This window comes from Homo sapiens, chromosome 2 (assembly GCF_000001405.40).
Source record: "Homo sapiens chromosome 2, GRCh38.p14 Primary Assembly".
Classification (NCBI taxonomy): domain Eukaryota; kingdom Metazoa; phylum Chordata; class Mammalia; order Primates; family Hominidae; genus Homo; species Homo sapiens.
In genome coordinates, this window is record NC_000002.12 from 182,636,335 (window position 1) to 182,655,244 (window position 18,910).

General features: G+C 39.0%; 1 protein-coding gene and 1 long non-coding RNA gene across 2 annotated transcripts in view, besides 1 other annotated feature; both read right to left on the reverse strand.

Annotated features, from left to right (window-relative positions):
• The window catches only part of PDE1A (phosphodiesterase 1A), a 576,757-nt gene that overhangs the window by 496,294 nt on the left and 61,553 nt on the right, over window positions 1–18,910 (reverse strand). The window lies entirely within an intron of this gene.
• LOC124907914 (uncharacterized) lies at window positions 215–8,548 on the reverse strand. The gene is made up of 2 exons (XR_007087328.1): window positions 7,317–8,548; window positions 215–688 (listed from the first exon to the last, which is right to left on the reverse strand). It is a non-coding gene; the product is annotated as an uncharacterized LOC124907914 (long non-coding RNA).
• Window positions 15,517–16,716: an enhancer, noted in NCBI's record as "P300/CBP strongly-dependent group 1 enhancer chr2:183516578-183517777 (GRCh37/hg19 assembly coordinates)". NCBI's record gives its function as "activates an origin of replication core promoter dependent on BRD2, BRD4, P300/CBP, MED14 and CDK7 cofactors, with strong dependence on P300/CBP, by STARR-seq in HCT116 cells {active_cell/tissue: HCT116}" and the evidence as "EXISTENCE:reporter gene assay evidence [ECO:0000049][PMID:35650434]".

An 18,910-nucleotide genomic window follows, 5' to 3' on the forward strand; every position in this document is an offset into this window, starting at 1 on the left:
ATTCACTGGGGTTTTTTTTCTTTTTTAACTCTGTCTTTAACTTTTGGATAATTTCTAGAAGGAAAACAGCATAATCCTGATTTACCTTAGTTAGGTTTGTACGGGAAGTTCAGAAACGCTGCTTTCAAGTGATAAAATATGATTTAAATCACCCAAAAGGTGATTAAGTCACCCAGTTTCCCTTCATCATGTAATTTTCACAATGAGAAAAAAACCCATTTAGCACGATTTTTATTTCAAACAAACGTATTTTGCTTTCATCAGTACATGTATTCCCTAATCAGCAAAGCGAACTTTCTCCCATGTATTATAATAGTTTATAATTGCTTCTTAGAGGTGTAAAACAATACAAATTGATTATCTCACAGTTCTATAGTTGAGGAGTCGGTCAGACCCTGCTTAGAGTCTCACAGGATGCCCGATGAGGCTGCGCTCCTTACTGGACACTCTAGGGAAGAATATGCCTCCCAGCTCAGTCAGGTTGCTGGCTAAGTTCAGTTTCTTGTGTTTGTAGCATTAAGGTCCCTATTTCCTTGCTGGCTGTCAGCAGGGGGCTGGTCTTTGCTCCTAGAGGCTGTGCACATTCTTCTCATGCTTTTCATGAGCTCCCTCCAGCAATGGCGGGTTGAATACCTCTGGCAATAAAATATCTCTGACTTGTCTTTCTGCCACATCTCTCTAACTCCGCCTGAAAAAACAATTATTTACTTTTAAAGGCTCATGTAATTAAGCTAGGTCCAGCAGGACAACCCAGGATAATCTTCCTATTTTAATGTCTGTAACATTAATCACATCTGCAAAATTCCTTTTATCATGTAACATCTTCATAGGTCTGGTGATAGGGCATGAGAATTTAAAAGAGGTCATTATTCTTCCTAGACATCCTATAACTGCATCCAGCATTTGAGACATAGCAAAATAAATTTCACCAAAGATATACTACTCCATTGATTAGCTAATATAATCTCCTAGTTCTACCCTTTGGCAGACTGAAAATCCCACAGCAATCCAGAAAAAGTTGATGAACTGAACTGTGAAGAACCAAGTTGATTAGTGGCTAATCCATACAGATGCCAAATATGGTGAAGATTAGAATCTAAGCATAAGAATCTGAATTTTTAAATATTCCTCAAGTTGTCAAAAAATGAAGCTAATAAAATGGAAATATGAAAGACCAATTAAAGAAAAGAGCTCATATCAGTGTGGCTAATATAAGAAAATACCAATGATGAAGGTTAGAATCTCAGCATAGGAGCCTGAATTTTCTTACCAAAGAATCAGTACTCTTCCAAAATGTCAAAGTCAGGCCGGGCACTGTGGCTCACACCCGTAATTCCTGCACTTTGGGAGGCTGAGGTGGGCGGATCACTTGAGACCAAGAGTTCAAGACCAGGCTCCCAACGTGATGAAACCCCATCTCTACTAAAAATACAAAAATTAGCCAGGCATGGTGGTACGTGCCTGTAATCTTAGCTACTCAGGAGGCTGAGGCAGGAGAATCACTTGAACCCCAGGAAGCAGAGGTTGCAGTGAGTCAAGATCATGCCACTGCACTCCAGCCTGGGCAACAGAGCGAGACTCTGTCTCAAAAAAACAAAAAGTCAAAGTCATACAAAAAAGGAAAAGACCACGGAACTATCACAGACGGGAAGAAACAATGGAGAAATAAAAACTAAATGCAATGTGAAATCCTGGATAAATTCTGAAGGAGAAAAGAAACATTATCAAGGAAATTCATGAAATTCTAATGGAATCTCTTAATTAATAATATTGTACAAATATTAATTTCCTGTTCTTGATAATTATCCTTTGGGAGTGTAAGATGTTAAATAGAGGAAAAAGGATGAGGGATTGCTCATGCATTTATTCTATAAGTCTAAAATTAGTTCAAACTAAATAATTAAAATAAAAATCAGGCATACAGTCGGGTGCAGTGGCTCACACCTGTAATCCCAGCACTTTGGGAGGCCAAGGCAGGTGGATCACCTGAGGTCAGAAGTTCGAGACCAGCCTGGCCAACATGGTGAACATCTCTACTAAAAATAACAAAAATTAGCCAGGTGTGATGGCGGGTGCCTGTAATCCCAGCTACTCAGGAGACAGAGGCAGGAGAATCACTTGAACCCAGGAGGCAGAGGTTGCAGTGAGCTGAGATTGCGCCCCTGCACTCCAGCCTGGGCGACAGAGTGGGACTCCATCTCAAAAAAAATGAAAAAAACAATTTAGGCATACAAAAAGATGGCTTTCTCTTCTCCTCCTGAATGTCACACAAAGGTATCAGGGTAAATGGGAAAAAGCCCATTATTTTCAGCGAAAAACATTAGATATAATCTGCATAAAAATTTTAGCAAAAGCAACTAAAATCATGACAAAGTGACAAAGTTGCACAGGAAGATTACAACAGAAGCAGTAAAAAGAAAAGTAAATGACAAGCCAGCCTAGCGCTTCTGGTAGGCTAGGGGCTCGCACTGAGATGATAAAACTATCACCTTTCCACACAAGAGATTCCAGATCAGGAGGGAACCAGATAGAGACTGAATAAACAGAAGCCATGTGGTGAGGAAAGTGTAGCAAAGATACTCAGAATTTCAGTGGTGAGAACTCAGAAAATGTCAGCCCAGACTCTGAAGACACCTCCTTTCAACAGCAGGGTCAAGGAAATCTAACTCATGACATTTTGAAAGATCTGACAGTGCTGATACAAAATTTCAGTATGAGAAACAGAAAGAGCAGGAAAACTTACCAAAAGAGGAACATACATCATAAGTAGATAAAAACTTGGATTAAACATTTTTCCATGAATTTCAGAACTTAATAAAGCAATTGCTCTCTGAATATAAATCAGAAGGCGAAAATACAAGAAGGCAAAAGAGAAATGGTAAGAAAACCTAAGCAGAGAGTAAGAAAACAGAAGAAGATGAAACATGACCTGAGAGAACTCAGGAAAGAAAGTGAGGATTAAAATAAATTTGCCTGTAATCCCCACACTTTGGGAGGCCAAGTGAGGCAGATCTCTTGAAGCCAGGAGTTCGAGACCAGCCTGGCCAATGTGGCGAAAACCCGTCTCTTACAAAAATACAAAAATTAGCTGGGCAGGGTGGCACACACCTGTAATCACAGCTGCTCAGGAGGTCGAGGCAGGAGAATCACTTGAACCCAAGAGGCAGAGGTTGCAGTGAGCCAAGATCATGCCACTGCACTCCGGCCTGCATGACAGAGTAAAATTCTCTTAGGAAAATAAAAAATAATTAAAAACTATCATCTAAATGAAAATAAAATCGAAAAAGAGAGAAATCCTGTGAAAAATACAGTAAGAGATATTGACATATTTAGGCCAAAAAGAAGAGTAAGCAACATGAAATGAAAACAAAATTTAAAAGAATGAGAAAATATTAGATACAGAAGATAAGCAAAAGAGATCCATCATACATGTAACTGGAATCCTGAGAGAATAAAACAAATACAATGGAATAGAACAAATATATAAAGATATCAATCATAAAACAGCTCTGAAACATATAATTTATATAAATATATATTTATTATATATATGCATAGATAATCTATATATTATAATAAAAGGACACATTATTCAGAAAAAAATAAATTAGAATGCTCAACAATATGGTCTATTCCTGTTTAAAGGATGTTAAAAAAAATGGTGAAGTCTAGCAAGAACTTTAAATAATTTCTTGGGGAAAATAATTCAGGCTGTATTCATATAACTCCTCAATGTCTTATAATACTAGAGGACAGTAAAGCAATACCTACAGGGTTCACAAAAACCAAAGCATGGGCTAAGAATTTTATATCTTGCCAAGCTGTTATTCAAGTGTGAAGGTTGTGTATACAAGAACTCAGGAATGTTGGTTCCACAAGCCTTCTTGAGGAAAATATTAAAATACAAACTTTACGCAAGCGAAGTCAGGAAAACTGCAGCAAAGAGACCATAAATGAGGACTGAAATATATTTCTCTTAGAACTGACACTGAATAAAAGTGGGGATAACAGTGAACAATCAGAATGTAAATATTACATGCTCTGAAGTTATTGAAATGATACAACCCATCAAAACAGGAAGGGCATTAAGGAAAGAGGTAGAAAGTAAATAAATATTCTGATTGTCCTACCTGTCAGCTGGGAATAAAAATATTTGAAGCTGACAAATCAATTAATAGAAACATACGTATATTTAAGAATATAAGAGTAAATACTAAAATGATTTTATTTTCTAATATCAAATGGTGGAAGAAGGAGGGTGCATGGAAGAAGATAAAATGCTAATTTTATCATTTCTCTTAGTAGGATCGATACTGTAAGACAAAGGGTATAATACACAATTATATTCATGAAAGCAACCACTAGAAGGAAAAAAAGAATTCTGAATTATCAGAAAATATGCAGGCCGGGTGCAGTGGCTCATGCCTGTAATCCCAGCACTTTGGGAGGCCAAGGCAGGCAGATCACTTGAGGTCAGGAGTTCAAGACCAGACTGGTCAACATAGTAAAACCTCGTTTCTACTAAAACTACCAAAATTAGCCAGACATGGTGGCACACAGCTGTAATCCCAGCCACCTGGGAGGCTGAGGCAGGAGAATTGCTTGAACCTGGTAGGTGGAGGTTGCAGTGAGCCGAGATCACACTACTGCACTCCAGCCTGGGCAACAGAGTGAGACTCCATCTCAAAAAAAAAAAGAAGAAGAAGAAGATATACAAGGAATACAAAGCAAGAGAACAAACCATGTAGTAAGTTTTCAAACATGTGAAAAATGAAAGAACATTAAGATTCTAGGTACACATTTTTATAGATGCATAAAGAAACTCTGAAAGGATAGAGTTTACATTAAAAAACTAAAAAGATGGTTGCCTATGTAAGAGGAGAAGTGGGAAGAAGAATGTAGGGAAAGTACTAGGCATATGGGGGAAAAGGATGAGACAGATTTTTCACCATTCTATTTTAGTTTAGGATTACCTAACCAGAAAATCAAATAAAATAATGTAAAAAATATTTTCAATCATTAAAAACTAGGCCAATTTTTTACCTGTTGTCATAGTTAAGCTATTCCCCATATTTCATAACTAATACAAAGAGTGATCATTAGATATTTGTCCAAAACTTTGGGTATTTCAACATTTTTCCCAAGAAAGCAGTTATAAATTGAAATTTTTTAACTAAGAGCAAACCACTAATCCAAATGAGTTTTTTGGACTTTTATTCATCTCATTTATAAAATGAATCATTATGATGAAAAAGAAGACAATGAATTTATAATTAACAAGTTACTATGGTTTCATGTTCTGAGAACGTTAGTCTTCTTTCACATCTTCACATAATAAGTTAATTTTACAACCCGAATAATGACTAAAGACCTCTACAAAGTTTTTCTGAGGTTACAAGCAATTTATTTATTGTTTTTGTAACATATTTATTGTTACTATTCTTAGGCAGGATAATCATTTGGAAATTTGAGCATGTCAGTATAGCTGCTCTCCCAGGTACATGAAACAATACATGTCTTCACAGTTGACATTTAAGCAATCTTCAATTGTCGAAAGGTGCATCCAAGAAAAGCTATCTGCACACTTTTCTAATTTACTATGACGTACCTCCTAAGATCATCTGAGGCCTATTATTTAAAGTCACTAGAAACTTTCTTTCCTAACCAATTGCATTTAATCATAAAGACAAAGACCTATGAGAAAAGTTTTCACGGAAAGGTTTCATAGGACAAACTTAACTATTATTTCTAAAGCAAACACTTCAGCAGGGGCTACACATGATATGGAATCCTGCAAATTATTTGTAGTCTAAAATATTTCTTTTACTTTTGCTTCACTAAATTATAATTTATGTAATATAATAAGAAATATTTGGGGCTCAACGCTTTGGAAACTGTATAAGCCAGAACATTTTCAGCATCAAGTGACAGAAAAATGTAAGTGAGAAGATCATAAAAGATAAATCTCCTGTTAAATCCAGGAATTTAAACAACATCATCAGAACTCTGTTCTCTTTCCTCCTTGACTTTGGCTCTGCTTTCCACTGCTTTGCCTCAGATCAGACAGGATTTGAAATGGCTGCAGGTATCCCTAAGACCATGTGGATTAGAGATGTCATAAACCTGAGGACTCTGAATTTGCCCACTGTGAGTTACATGCTCATCCCCATAGCAATCACTGAGGTCAGCGGGATGCAGCGCTCTGATTGGTCAGGCCTGGAGGGTGTGCTATGGAGGATTAGGAAACATAAATATGCAGCCAGGCCACACCGGTTGTTATGAAATTGGGGAAGAGATGGCTCCCATCTCTTAAAAGGAATTGGGGAAGAGATGCTGAAGTTTATCTATACATTTTCTTTTTCACTTACCTCTGATGCTAAGATATCTAACCTAGTAGAATTAACTTTAGAAGTTCTGTAAAGTTGTCTTTGAAGCCTTCCATCATCTCATTTTAGAACCCTAAGTTATTTTAGGGAACATTGTCTGGCTTAAATCCTGAAAATTGCGTCTTCCAGTGACACTTTAGATTTCCCAGTGACAACCATTTACTCCCTTTAATTGGCTCCAGAAATGCCTTCCTTCTGGAGGCAGGAACAAACACAAGTTGACACCCTTAAACTGAGTGTCAGGGACAGGCATGTGCCCAAGCATGGAAAATCAGAGGTTACAAGGAGACCTGATGCCCATCATTTATCTCAGCCACATCCTCCTCTTAAAGAATATTCCCTGTCTAGTGCAGCCCTCCAGGTGAGGCAGCCTTAACCTTTGCTTCAGGCCCAAAGACAACTACTGCTGGGTCCTGGTCGTCAGGATCCTGAGTCCTGCTCAATTCCTGGCTGCTTGCTTCTGCTCCTCCAGCTCCGTATTAGCCAGTCACAAGTTACCAAGCACATTCAAATACTTGTAAACCTCCTTTGAGGCAGAGTATAGTTCTCATTTTATACAGATTAAAAATTAGTGCTGAGAGGTTAATTAATTGCCTGGTACGGCACAGGTAAGCAGGGAGCCAGGTCTGCCGCCTAGGTCTCATGTTTTTCTCCCTATATCCAGCTTCCAGGTTCTCTCTGGGTCTGGCTCATCTTATGCCTGGTCTTGGGTACTGCCCTCAGTCTTACCTTGTCTTTTCTCATCTTGCATTCTCATCTCAGCTTCCTGCCCAACCGTTATACATTGCATAACTTTCTTCCCAATATGTTTGCTCTACAACAAATGGTATTATTTTTCGAGTGAGGCATTTTTTGAGTTATAGTTCTAAGAAGGAAGTGAAGGCATGTAGAAGTAGACAAGAGGAGTCATGAAAGAGAAAGCTCTCTCACCAGAACTATTAGCATTGCTCTTTATCTTCAGGAAGAGAAAGAAAAGGTTTAAAAATGGAGGTCCAGAAACAATGGCTACTGTTCAGGGGGACACTACAATAACAAAAAGAGAGAGAAACTCAGTGTCAGATCTTTAAATGAAAGAATTGATATGAAGGACATTTGCTTTGGCACATCTAGAAAAATATGAGAAAATAATATATTGTAATTTATTTGCAATATATTTAAGCTGCTTATGTGGATGGCTTATTAATTAGGCCAGGAATTCAGCCAAGTCCCATTGATTTATACAACCAAAATTCTTTGTTTAGCTTATGATGGATGATACATAAATGCTGATGATTAATCTCTTGTAAGTTTTCCCTTTTTTTAATTCCCAGAACACTACAGTTTGCCTCAAGTGAGTTGATGCTCTTCATAGCCTAATTGTCATATTTAATTTGTTAAGTCAGAGATACCTTCTCTCTAATCAATGATTACACACACACACACACACACACACACACACAGAGCCTTGTAATGAGCTTCTACACCTGAGGATTTACCAACCACCAAAAATGACTTAAATCTGGGCTTTTACTTCCGATGTCTCCAGGTCAGAGTCTTAAGACTCTGTGTGTGTGTGTGTGTGTGTGTGTGTGTGTGTGTGTCTGTGTGTGTCTGTGTATGTAAAGCCATGTATGAAACCCAAAGTTGTTATTAGATCCAAACCATGGAGTTTGGGATGGTGGTTTCTAGAGTTAATGGATCAAAAATAGTTAAGTTCAAACATTCATCAGGTTTGAAATAAACTGTAATGCTCTTCTAATACAGTAAAAGGATCCTAGCAAAAATTCTACATTAGAAGGTAAGAATTATAACTCTCCAAGTGCATGTTGTTATATAGTTTAAGAAGTACAATCCATGGTGTGGAATGAGTTACTAAACTAGAAGATTGAGCTTCTGACACCAATTTTGCCAAAGTTACTAATACTGTGACCTTTGGCAAGGACGTCATCTCGCTGAGCCTGATTTTCACATCTATGAGTGGGAAGGATACAACCTGTTCAGAGGACTGTGGTGATGAAAAACTGTGACAAGGGAGGTAGCATAAGAGGCAGAATGACTAGCACATGGTTCCTTCTTCTTTCCCAGTTCTATTTAAGACCTAAACAGGATCAGTGAAACCCACCAAGATGTTGGAACATAAGTAGAGTCTGGAAAAAAAACCATAATATAAACACATATATTTGAAAAATAGATAATAGCATTAAATTATTTCAATTTTGAAAAGTATAGTAATTTAAAATGAAATTAATTATTTCTGCTTCCTCAAGCATGCCCATGTCTTCTGTATTTTTTTTTTTTTTTTTTGAGACTGAGTCTCGCTCTGTTGCCCAGGCTGGAGTGCAGTGGCACAATCTCCACTCACCGCAAGCTCAGCCTCCTGGGTTTACGCCATTCTCCTGCCTCAGCCTCCCGAGTAGCTGGGACTACAGGTGCCCGCCACCACACCCAGCTAATTTTTTGTATTTTTTAGTAGAGATGGGGTTTCACCATGTTAGCCAGGATGATCTCTATCTCCTGACCTCGTGATCTGCCCGCCTCGGCCTCCCAAAGTGCTGGGATTACAGGCGTGAGCCACCGCCTCTTCTGTATTTTTGTGGCTACTTTCTGTTATGGATATTTGTTTTAATATAAATATTCCGTTTTACCTGATGAAATATTTCTGTGAGGGCATTCTTTCTAATAAAATTGTCACTTATTATAAAATCATCACTGGCAATCTATCTTTTTTCACATTTTCTTCATCTTTACTAAGCCATTCAAGCGTGGTTGGCATTTCTTATTCAAAACACATCAATAACACTGGAGGCCAGAGAACACTTATCTTTTTTTGTCAAATTGAAGTCAGCTATTGTACTATTTGGAATGTTAATGGAGAGCTTGTCAGATATTCAGATAATAATGAAATGTTTATCAAAATCATTATGCTCAAAAAAACAAAAGTTCAAGATTTCTAAAGTAAACGAAAAACAAAAATTTTTGCAGATTAAGTCTACAATTTCTAATGAAAAGAAAAAAAATTAATATATGGCCACTACAGAACAAAATATACTAAATCCAGGTACAACATAACTGTTAATTTGAAAAGGTAAAACGGTGAAGGTTATGCCAGCTTCTTGTTCCATAGTTAAGAAAAATCCATGTTTTAAATATTACCTCCCTCCTCAACAAGGTAAATTATTATTCATGTTAAATGTCATCCAAAGTAAAGAATTTGCCTAAAATATATTTTCTCTTTTTCTAAATATGCTGAATGAGTGATTCGTATCCTCCCCATTTGGGGAAGGAAATGTCATATTTTGGTTGAAAATAACTTCCAATAGGCTACATGGGGATATAAAAGATAAATTTTTAAAAGGGTATAGTAAAAAAAAGAAAAAGAAAGAAAACAACCTTCAGCCACTCTTTTACAGAGTTAGATGGATAAGAATATAGGTTGGATTGGTCATGGCTAATTACATTAAGAATTAAGGAAAATGGGCAGGGCATGCCTGTAATCCCAGCACTTTCAGAGGCCGAGGCAGGTAGATCACCTGAGGCCAGGAGTTTGAGACCAGACTGGCCAACGTGGTGAAACCCTGTCTTTACTAAAAATACATTAAAAAAAAAAATGGGCATAGTGGTGCGTACCTGTAGTCCCAGCTACTCGGGAGGCTGTGGCAGGAGAATCGTTTGAACCCAGGAGGTGAAGGTTCAAAAAAAAAAAAAAAAAGCCATACGCGGTGGCTCACACCTGTAATCCCAGTACTTTGGGAGGCCACGGCGGGCAGATCACAAGGTCAGGAGTTCGAGACCAGCCTGGCCAACACAGTGAAATCATGTCTCTAAAAATACAAAAATTATCTGGGCATGGTGGCAGGCGCCTGTAATCCCAGCTATTCGGAGGCTGAGGCAGGAGAATCGCTTGAACCCGGGAGGCGGAGGTTGCAGTGAGCCGAGATCGCGCCACTGCACTCCAGCCTAGGTGACAGAGCTAGACTCCATCTAGGAAAAAAAAAAAAAGAATTAAGCAAAGTCACCCAAAAAGAATAATTCCCAAGTCAGTGAAACATAAGTATAACCCAATTAAAGGTAGTAATATTGCTGAAGAAATTATGTATTAAGCAGAATGAAAGATCAGCTAAAAAATCATAGGAGACTCTTTTGAAAACATTGGCAGTGCCTACACAGATGGTGTCAAGAAAAAGCAGTAAATTTAGCCATCAGGCTCTCTGGTAATAAACTGGTTTCCATCTAGGCCTGCGTGGAGACAAAGCAGATGTGGCCATGCTGATAATTGGATTCCAGTTCTTATCACACAGATAATGGTAAAGTAAGAGATTGGCACGATGACTTTTTGCATTAGTTTTAAGAATTTGTTGGGAGTTTGTTTCTTTGTTTTTAACAATGTTGAACCCACCTGTGGAACTGACCGAATTAGGATTTTTAAGGCTGTCCAGCTGAGGACCAGCCCCTCAGCACAACAAAACCTCCAAAATGACTTCACCCCAGGAAGTCTCTTCTCTCAGGGGACATCACTGCGTGCACTCACCTGTGTCCCTGTACCTTTCCATATGCTCTATTAGGGTGATGCTTGCACAGATGAGGGATCTTGACAAGATAGATTACTGAATGGATGGATCAGCAGTTTTCAAGATCAGAATTTATTTCTGGTCTCTTTCCAATAAAGCATAGTTAGATTAGATTGGATCGTACACCTTCCCAGAACAACTTAATACAATAACAATCATATAATTTGTCATTTTTCCTATGGTATCTTTATGTGCTTTGTTTTTATAATGTGCCAAGAGCCTCATGGAATTCAATTTAAGGGTTATTGAGGTAGTCTATTAAGAGTTATTGAGATAGTTATTGAGACAGACTATCGAGATAATCAGCAGCTTCTGCAGGGATAAAATGGAGTCACTTAGGAAAAGACATATCACCTTTTTCTGAGCAGATAAGACTTAAGTTGAACACCATCTGGTTCCAAAACCTTTCATTAGTGTATGGCTTTTAAAGATACGATGCTACAGTAAAGACTAAATCATCTTGGTGGCTACAATTTCAGAATCATTTACTCCAGTTCAATTTAGCATAAGAAGCCTCTGTAGAAAAATTGGCTTTCGAAACCCAAATTACACAGTGAGCTGATAAACAATTAAATGAAATTCTGTCATTGACAGGAAGAGCTAGGCAGAGGAGGACAAAAAAGGGAGAGAAAGATGCCCAAATTTACTGAGGAAAAAAAAAGGCACAGGAAAGGAAGTGAGGTGAGTATCGGCAGGTTAACCTCACATCCTTCTGAGAGACTTTCCTCTAGAAAGCTGATTTTCAAATTTGCTTGAAGATAAGAACTGACTAGAACACTTGTTTAAAAAACTCTCAGGCCTCAGCCCGGACCTACTAAACCATGGTATATTGGAAAAACCATAGTATATTGGAGAAGAAACCTGGTAACCTGGCAATCTGTGCATATAACAAGTGCCTCACGTGTTCCTCATCAGGTAAGTTTGAGCTAGCACTGTAGCTAAAAAGATGTTTCTATGGGCTTGTTGGGACATTCTGAGCCTTGCGAGTAGTAAGCCTCATTCTTAATAAGACGGTCCAGTTGTTGGAGTCAGAATAGGAGCTCTGATTCAGACGAGCAGAACAAAAACATTAAGGCCTCACAGTTTGTGGCAAGAGCTTAAGTAGATGCAGTAATAAGTCCAGGCTGGGCACAGTGGCTCACACCTGTAATCCCAGCACTTAGGAAGCTGAGGCTGGAGGATCCCTTGTGGCCAGGAGTTTGAGACCAGCCTGGACAACAGAGCAAGCAAGACCCTGTCCCCACAAAAAAAAAAAAAAAAAAAAAAATTAAAAAAATTACCTGGATGTAGTGGTGCACTGGTGCATGCCTGGAGTCCTAGCTGCCTGGGAGGCTGAGGGAGGAGGATCACTTGATCCCAGGAGATTGAGGCTGCAGTGAGTCATAATCATGTTACTGCACTCAGCCTGGGTGGCAGAGCAAGACCCTGTCTCTTTAAAAAAAAAAAAAAAAAAATTCAAGACAAGGCAGTTAAAGCCAGTTGCAATTAATTTAAATAAACACCAACAAAGCATCCTAATACCTGTAATATGAAGACATGGGTGCAAATGCCAACACTTCCAGTCACATTTTTATCATCTATACAAAAGAAGTGATGATATCCAGTTTATAGATGTTATTATCAGAGCTGGTGTTTGAAAGTGCCACCTAAATATGAGCAATTATTGCTACTAGGTAAAGGGTACCAGAGCAAGTGCTCATATCAGGACAGTCAAACAAGAGGTGTCCCTACAAGTGGGTGGGGAAACACAGCAATGGGAATGTAGAATGGAAAAATTGTGAGGTGTGTGTAAGTGGCAGCAGGTAGCAGGCCCCTCTGGTGGCCTAGAATACATCTGAAACTATCATCTTCAGGCATAGAAAGAAGAAAATGAGATGTGAGTTAGTTGAGAAGAAACTGGATAGCTGAGAGATTACCAAGATAAGATTCAGACATATTAAAAACAATCTTGGTACCCACTGCCTGGCGACAGGGTATGTGGTAGCAGCTTTGTGCAACATAAGTTATTAGCACAGAAACCAAAATCAGAATAGGAAAAGCAACATGAGCTATTCCTAACACTTCAGTTCCCCTTGGTCAGAGGTAGGAAAGTTGAGCCTACAAATAGGAATAAAGTCCCAGCCGTAGAACATAGAGAGACGCAGGAAGCTAAAGAGGTTTTTTCAGGGGGCAGGTAAACCTTGTTCAATCATGAAATGATGTTCAAGAGAGACATCTACTGGCCGGGAGCAGTGGCTGACAATTGTAATTCCAGCACTTTGGGAGGCCAAGGTGGGAGGGTCTCTTGAGCCCAGCAGTTCGAGACCAGCCTGGGCAATATACCAAGACCCCACTCTATACAAAAAAAAAAAAAAAAAAATTGAGATGGAGTCTCGCTTTTTCACCCAGGCTTGATTGCAGGGGCGCAATCTCAGTTCACTGCAACCTCTGCCTCCCAGGTTTAGGCAATTATTTGCCTCAGCCTCCCAAGTAGCTGGGATTACAGGCGCCTGCCACCACGTCCGGCTAATTTTTGTATTTTTAGTAGAAACAGGGTTTCACCATCTTGGCCAGGCTGGTCTTAAACTCCTGACCTTGTGATCCATCCACCTCAGCCTCCCAAAGTGCTGGGATTACAGGTGTGAGCCACTGTGCCCGGCCTACAAAAAAATTTTTTTTTAAATTAGCCAGACATGGTAGCTCATGCTTGTAGTCTCAGCTACTCGGAAGGTTGAGATAAGAGGATCACTTGAGCCCAGGAGTTTGAGGCTGCAGTGAGCTGTGATCATATCTAGGTGTGATCGTACTCCAGCCTAGGTGATAGAGCGAGACTCTCTCTCCAAAAAAGAGAGAGAGAGACATCTGCTGCCAGCAAAAAGATCCTAGATCTATCCATAGGTTTAAAACACACATGGCTTTAGGTGCCAGGTAGATGAGGAAATGTATAAGGGCACAGGGTCTCAGACTATGGGAAAACGCAAGTATTGTTTAGTATTTAGAATGCAATCACTGAAATGCAGTCTAACTCAGATTTTTAAAAACCTACTAACAAGCAAAACTGGTCTCTGGGCTAAATAAAATCCCAGGAGACCAGGTTTTAACATGAATGGCCCAGAGCAGAGAGCACAGATACAAATATGTAGTGTGATGTATTCAATAACATTAAAAGTTATTTTTTTAACTTCAGATTCAGACTTAAGGAACATTCAGTTAGCACCTACTATAACCTAGGAATGAGGCCCTCCTATATACATTTCATGTGCATGGAAATAGGGAAGAACCAGGCTACTTGAATCAAAACACTTTGATAACCTTATTCCCCAGAAAGCATCTCAAAATTCTGATTTCATGTCTACAATAATGATAAAAATGACAGTAGTAGTAATAACAGTTATACAAGGTAATTAAGTAAAATGTCATAAAGTAATGTAGGGATAACAATTATACCTATACATATTGTAACTCTAACTTTTTTAACGTAAGTATACTCTCTTGAGAAATTAATTGTATCCTCGGCATTAAAGAACTTAAACCATCCCAACTGAAAACACTTGAAAGAGAACAGGAAAATCCCACTGCTCCATGCTGACAACTGATATTCAAGATCTTGCGTAAGAATTCTAACCTTCTTGGAAGTATTCACAATGACTTTTAAATATCTGCCTTCATGTTACATTTAAAAAGGCTTCTTGAAAAACAATAGGAGTAGAGTGCCCTCTAGAGTCTTATTTGTGTTTTGTTTTTTGGGTTTTTGTTTTGTTTTGTTTTGTTTTTTTCCAGATGGAGTTTCGCTCTTGTTGCCCAGACTGGAGTGCAATGGCATGATCTTTACTCACTGCAACCTCTGCCTCCCAGGTTCAGGCAATTCCCCTGCCTCAGACTCCTGAGTAGCTGGGATTACAGGCACCTGCCATCACACCCAGCCAATTTTTGTATTTTTAGTAGAGATAGGGGTTCACCATGTTGGCCAGCCTGGTCTTGAACTCCTGACCTCAAGTGGTCCACCCGCCTTGGCCTCCCAAAGTGCTAGGATTACAGGTATGAGCCACCACACCTGGCCTTGTATTTTTAATGCCAAATTAGGGGGGTAGATAATTTGATCATTTCTGGCTGCAGTCATTGAAATTGAGAAATGTGAAAAATTTGACTATTGCTGCTACAAAAATGTATCTCTTTACAAAATTTAGTATGATCTTTTTCCTCCCAAGAGAAATCTCTTTGAACATTACCTATCTACATAGTTAGAACAGACAAAAATATTAAAGATTTGTATTGAAAATGTGTTAATTTGTATTCTACTTTCTATGTCCTACACATACAAATTTATTCAAAGGAATTCTAATATCAGTATGACTATTTCATCTTTTGTGTGCACTTTTTAAAAACTTATACATTCATTTCAGTCCATAAGTTACCAAAAGGGAAACAATATTTGTTAATCTAACATTTGAGGCTTCTACCTAAAATTTATACAACGCATTTGGGTAACTAATAAACGCTTTTACACATAGGTGCATTAACATACACTGATTAAAATAAAGGCATAGCTAGAAATGTCTTCGCCCCACTTAAGACATACAGATCATCACAAGGCTGTGATGGCAGGCCTAATAGGAATATGTGAAGCCTAAAGCTGCAAACTTGGAATCTGCAGTTTAACAAAAGATAGGCTTTGCTTTTACATCTAGCACTCCACTATTTATCAAGGAAGTCAGGGATCCAACATACTTAGCTCTAAAATGGGATAATATTGACAGCTGAGCTTATTATGTATTTTTAATGTATCAATTGTAAAAATTTATAGGAGGGCTGTATAGATCATAAATAGCAATGCATATAAGGTATGTTTTCTGTTTTTCACATAAAATGGAGAGTTCAGCCAAGTTAGGTCATCCTTGAATAAAAACATGAAGCATTCTCCCAGTATTATTGCAGACTGCTCTTCAAGCTTCTTTGCCAATGTTTTCTCCTCACATATATATTACCTGTCCCTTGACTATAAGTGTTTTAAATATTCTTTGGGACTCTTCCCTATGACCTGTCTAATTTCACTGCTGAAATTCTCCCTAGAGAAATTTTTCCCTCCCAGGTCTTTAGATTCCTTCTGCAGTCTAGAAACACACTTACCTCTCTAGATCGACCTCCTACGATCTGGATCCCTATTTCAACTGCCTATTTTACACCTCCTTCATCCTCAGCGTCAGAGGAACCCTAGGCCTGAGATCAAAGACATACAATAGAGATCTGAGGCAAGATGTCGTCACTGCAAAATGAGTCAAAACATGCATGGAACTATCCTCCCCAGCCACAGCCGGATAAAAAGGTATAGCTCACAGGATGTGAGGTGGGGCACATCCTCTTGACGCAGTCCACCCCTGGTACCATTGAGACCCACTTGTACCCTATATTAAATGCAATTCATCACTGAGTGTTCAAGGTGGTGGCCTCTTCAAAAAGCTTCATATACAACAGTTACAGGTAGAAACTACAAATGCTGCAACTGGTACCCAAATCATAATTCATATTCATATTTCACTTCTCTATTACACTTTGTAATTTCTCTCTCCCTTTTGTCCATCAGGTTGCTCAGTCCCTCTTTTGCTGATATAGGTTGCTTGTCTAATGGAGTCACCCAAACCTTCAGCTGATTCTGAGTTCTTAGTTGTTTTGTTCTTACCATGTTATGGTCACTGCAATTTCTGGTTCATCATTGTCACCAGACATGGACACACAAGTGCACCTCATGAGTTCTACTGTGTAGTAGCAACTCTAGCTCTTCAGGATCATGGGGCTCATTTCCCCCAGGAATATACTTCTTTTTTGGCTGCCATTCTGCTGGCATGAGGAGCCCATAACATAGGAATCACTTTCGACCCTTTTGAAGTAGTCACAATTGCAGGTTTAGTGGGCACTTACCATATTGCTGAGTGCAAATATTCCCCTAATATAGCAGAGCTAATTTATTTAAAAAAGGAAAACATGAATTCCATCCTGAGGTGGACCTCAGGATGATAGGGAGGGGAACCAATTCTGTTTCCATGTCTTGCTTCCTGGATCTGCATATTTTAGCCATGAGAGACACCTCGCTATGTATCGCTAATGATTTAAGGCAATTCTGAAGGACATTGACTAAATCACTCCATAATTTTAATCATTTGGTTTTTTTCGAGGGGATGTGGTGTGTGGCAGGACCAGAAAACTATTTGGCCATACACTTGCTTACTCACCTCTTTCTCTATGAAATTAGGCTCTTGATCTGACAGGATGTTTACAATATTGCTTTTGTAAATCATACATTCTGTAAGTGCTTGAATGAGGTGTTGCAGAAACCCCGTTATCAAGGAAGGAAACCCATATCTAGAAAAGATAGCAATTGAAGAATCAGTTTCATCTTCAGGATGGAAGGGGATTGATGTAATCAACTTGCCATCAAGTGATTACTTAATCTCCTTGAGGGATGGGAACATATAATTGATCTCTGCTTCTGATAGGCCCAGCATTCAGCAGCACTAGTAGCCCACTCATCCTGGCTGATCTGGCTCAGATACGAGTCTTAACCTCTGCCATCATTGCTACTCTGAAACTCTGAAACTTTATAGGGTCCTTCTCCCAGCTTCTGACACAAACGTGCCTTACTGGGGCAACTAGGGTACTCTCTTCTTCCTGCACATCAGATCCATCATCGTCACTACACATGGACCAGTTGGCACAATGGCATCAATGTAGTGGACAAATGAAATGATCTGTGAAATATTAAAATAATCAGAGTCCCCACAGACTATATTTTTATAGACTATAAGAGTGTTAATAATACCTGTGGAAAATAGTGACTGTATACTACTGTCCATCTAACATAAAAGTGAATTAATTATGAAACTCTTGATTGATAGAGATTGAAAACTGCATTTGTTAGATCAATACCAAGTACCAGAGGCTATATTAGTTGATTCTAATGGAAATAAAATACCTGACACCACTGCAGTTGCACCCACCACTTGGTTAAGTTTGTGGTAGTCCACCACCGTCTACCAAAATTCATGTTGTTGTTGCTTGGGTCAAACAGGTTAATTGAAAAATAATGTGTTGGAAGCAACCCTGCATTCTTTAAGTCTTTGGGAGTAGCACTAACCTCTGCAATTTCTCCCAGGTTGCAGTTTCACTTGGGATTCTGTTTCTTGGTGTTGGGAGCTGGACTCACTGTAAGATATATTTAGGTCAGGACTCCATTTAGCATCTGCTCTTCCAAGGTGTCACTTTAACTAGGGATCATAGTAATATTCCTGTTTAAAATGTCCCCTATTTTAAGTGCCAGCTCAGATAATTTATCCAAAGCCCTTTGAAAGGCCTTTTTTCAACATGTAATCTGATATATGCTTTAAGTCCTTTTGGGGCAGGAATGGAGACATATTTATGGCATACACATGAAGTAACCTCTCAGGGTCCCTCCTCAAGTGAACCTAGCCTTCCCTTCAATGAATGGGCTCTGGCTCTGTGAACTAGCTCAGATCTCTCTAGCTCAGTCTGGAATCTATTCATTGTCCACCATCCCATCTGACATCAGTCTTCTGTTCACAACTCTTTTTTTTCCATTTCTTGATGTTAACAAGCTGTACCTCTAATGGGCTTTCCATGTCTCTTCTATTGGGAACACCATGATGTATGAACACTTGCCACAGGTCCCAGTGGGTCAAGGCCTCCTGGTTATTCATCTGGCCTTTTTGCTCATTTGTCCTGTCTAAGGTACCACCATTTGGCCTCAGAAATTCTGGAATCCTATCATTCCTATTTTGTCTAGGCAACCACAGATGCCAATCCCCAACTCTCAACCATAGCGTAAAGAGGATAGTAACTACAGAGCTTCTCGAAGATGCCAATGTCTGCCTCAAGGTGCATTCCTTATTGCTTTAGTGAATGAAGTGTCATCAGGGCTCTCCCCGGGAACAGAGGCAGGAATGAGAGTTTTCTAGTCTCCCATAATAAATCCATTCTAACATGCCC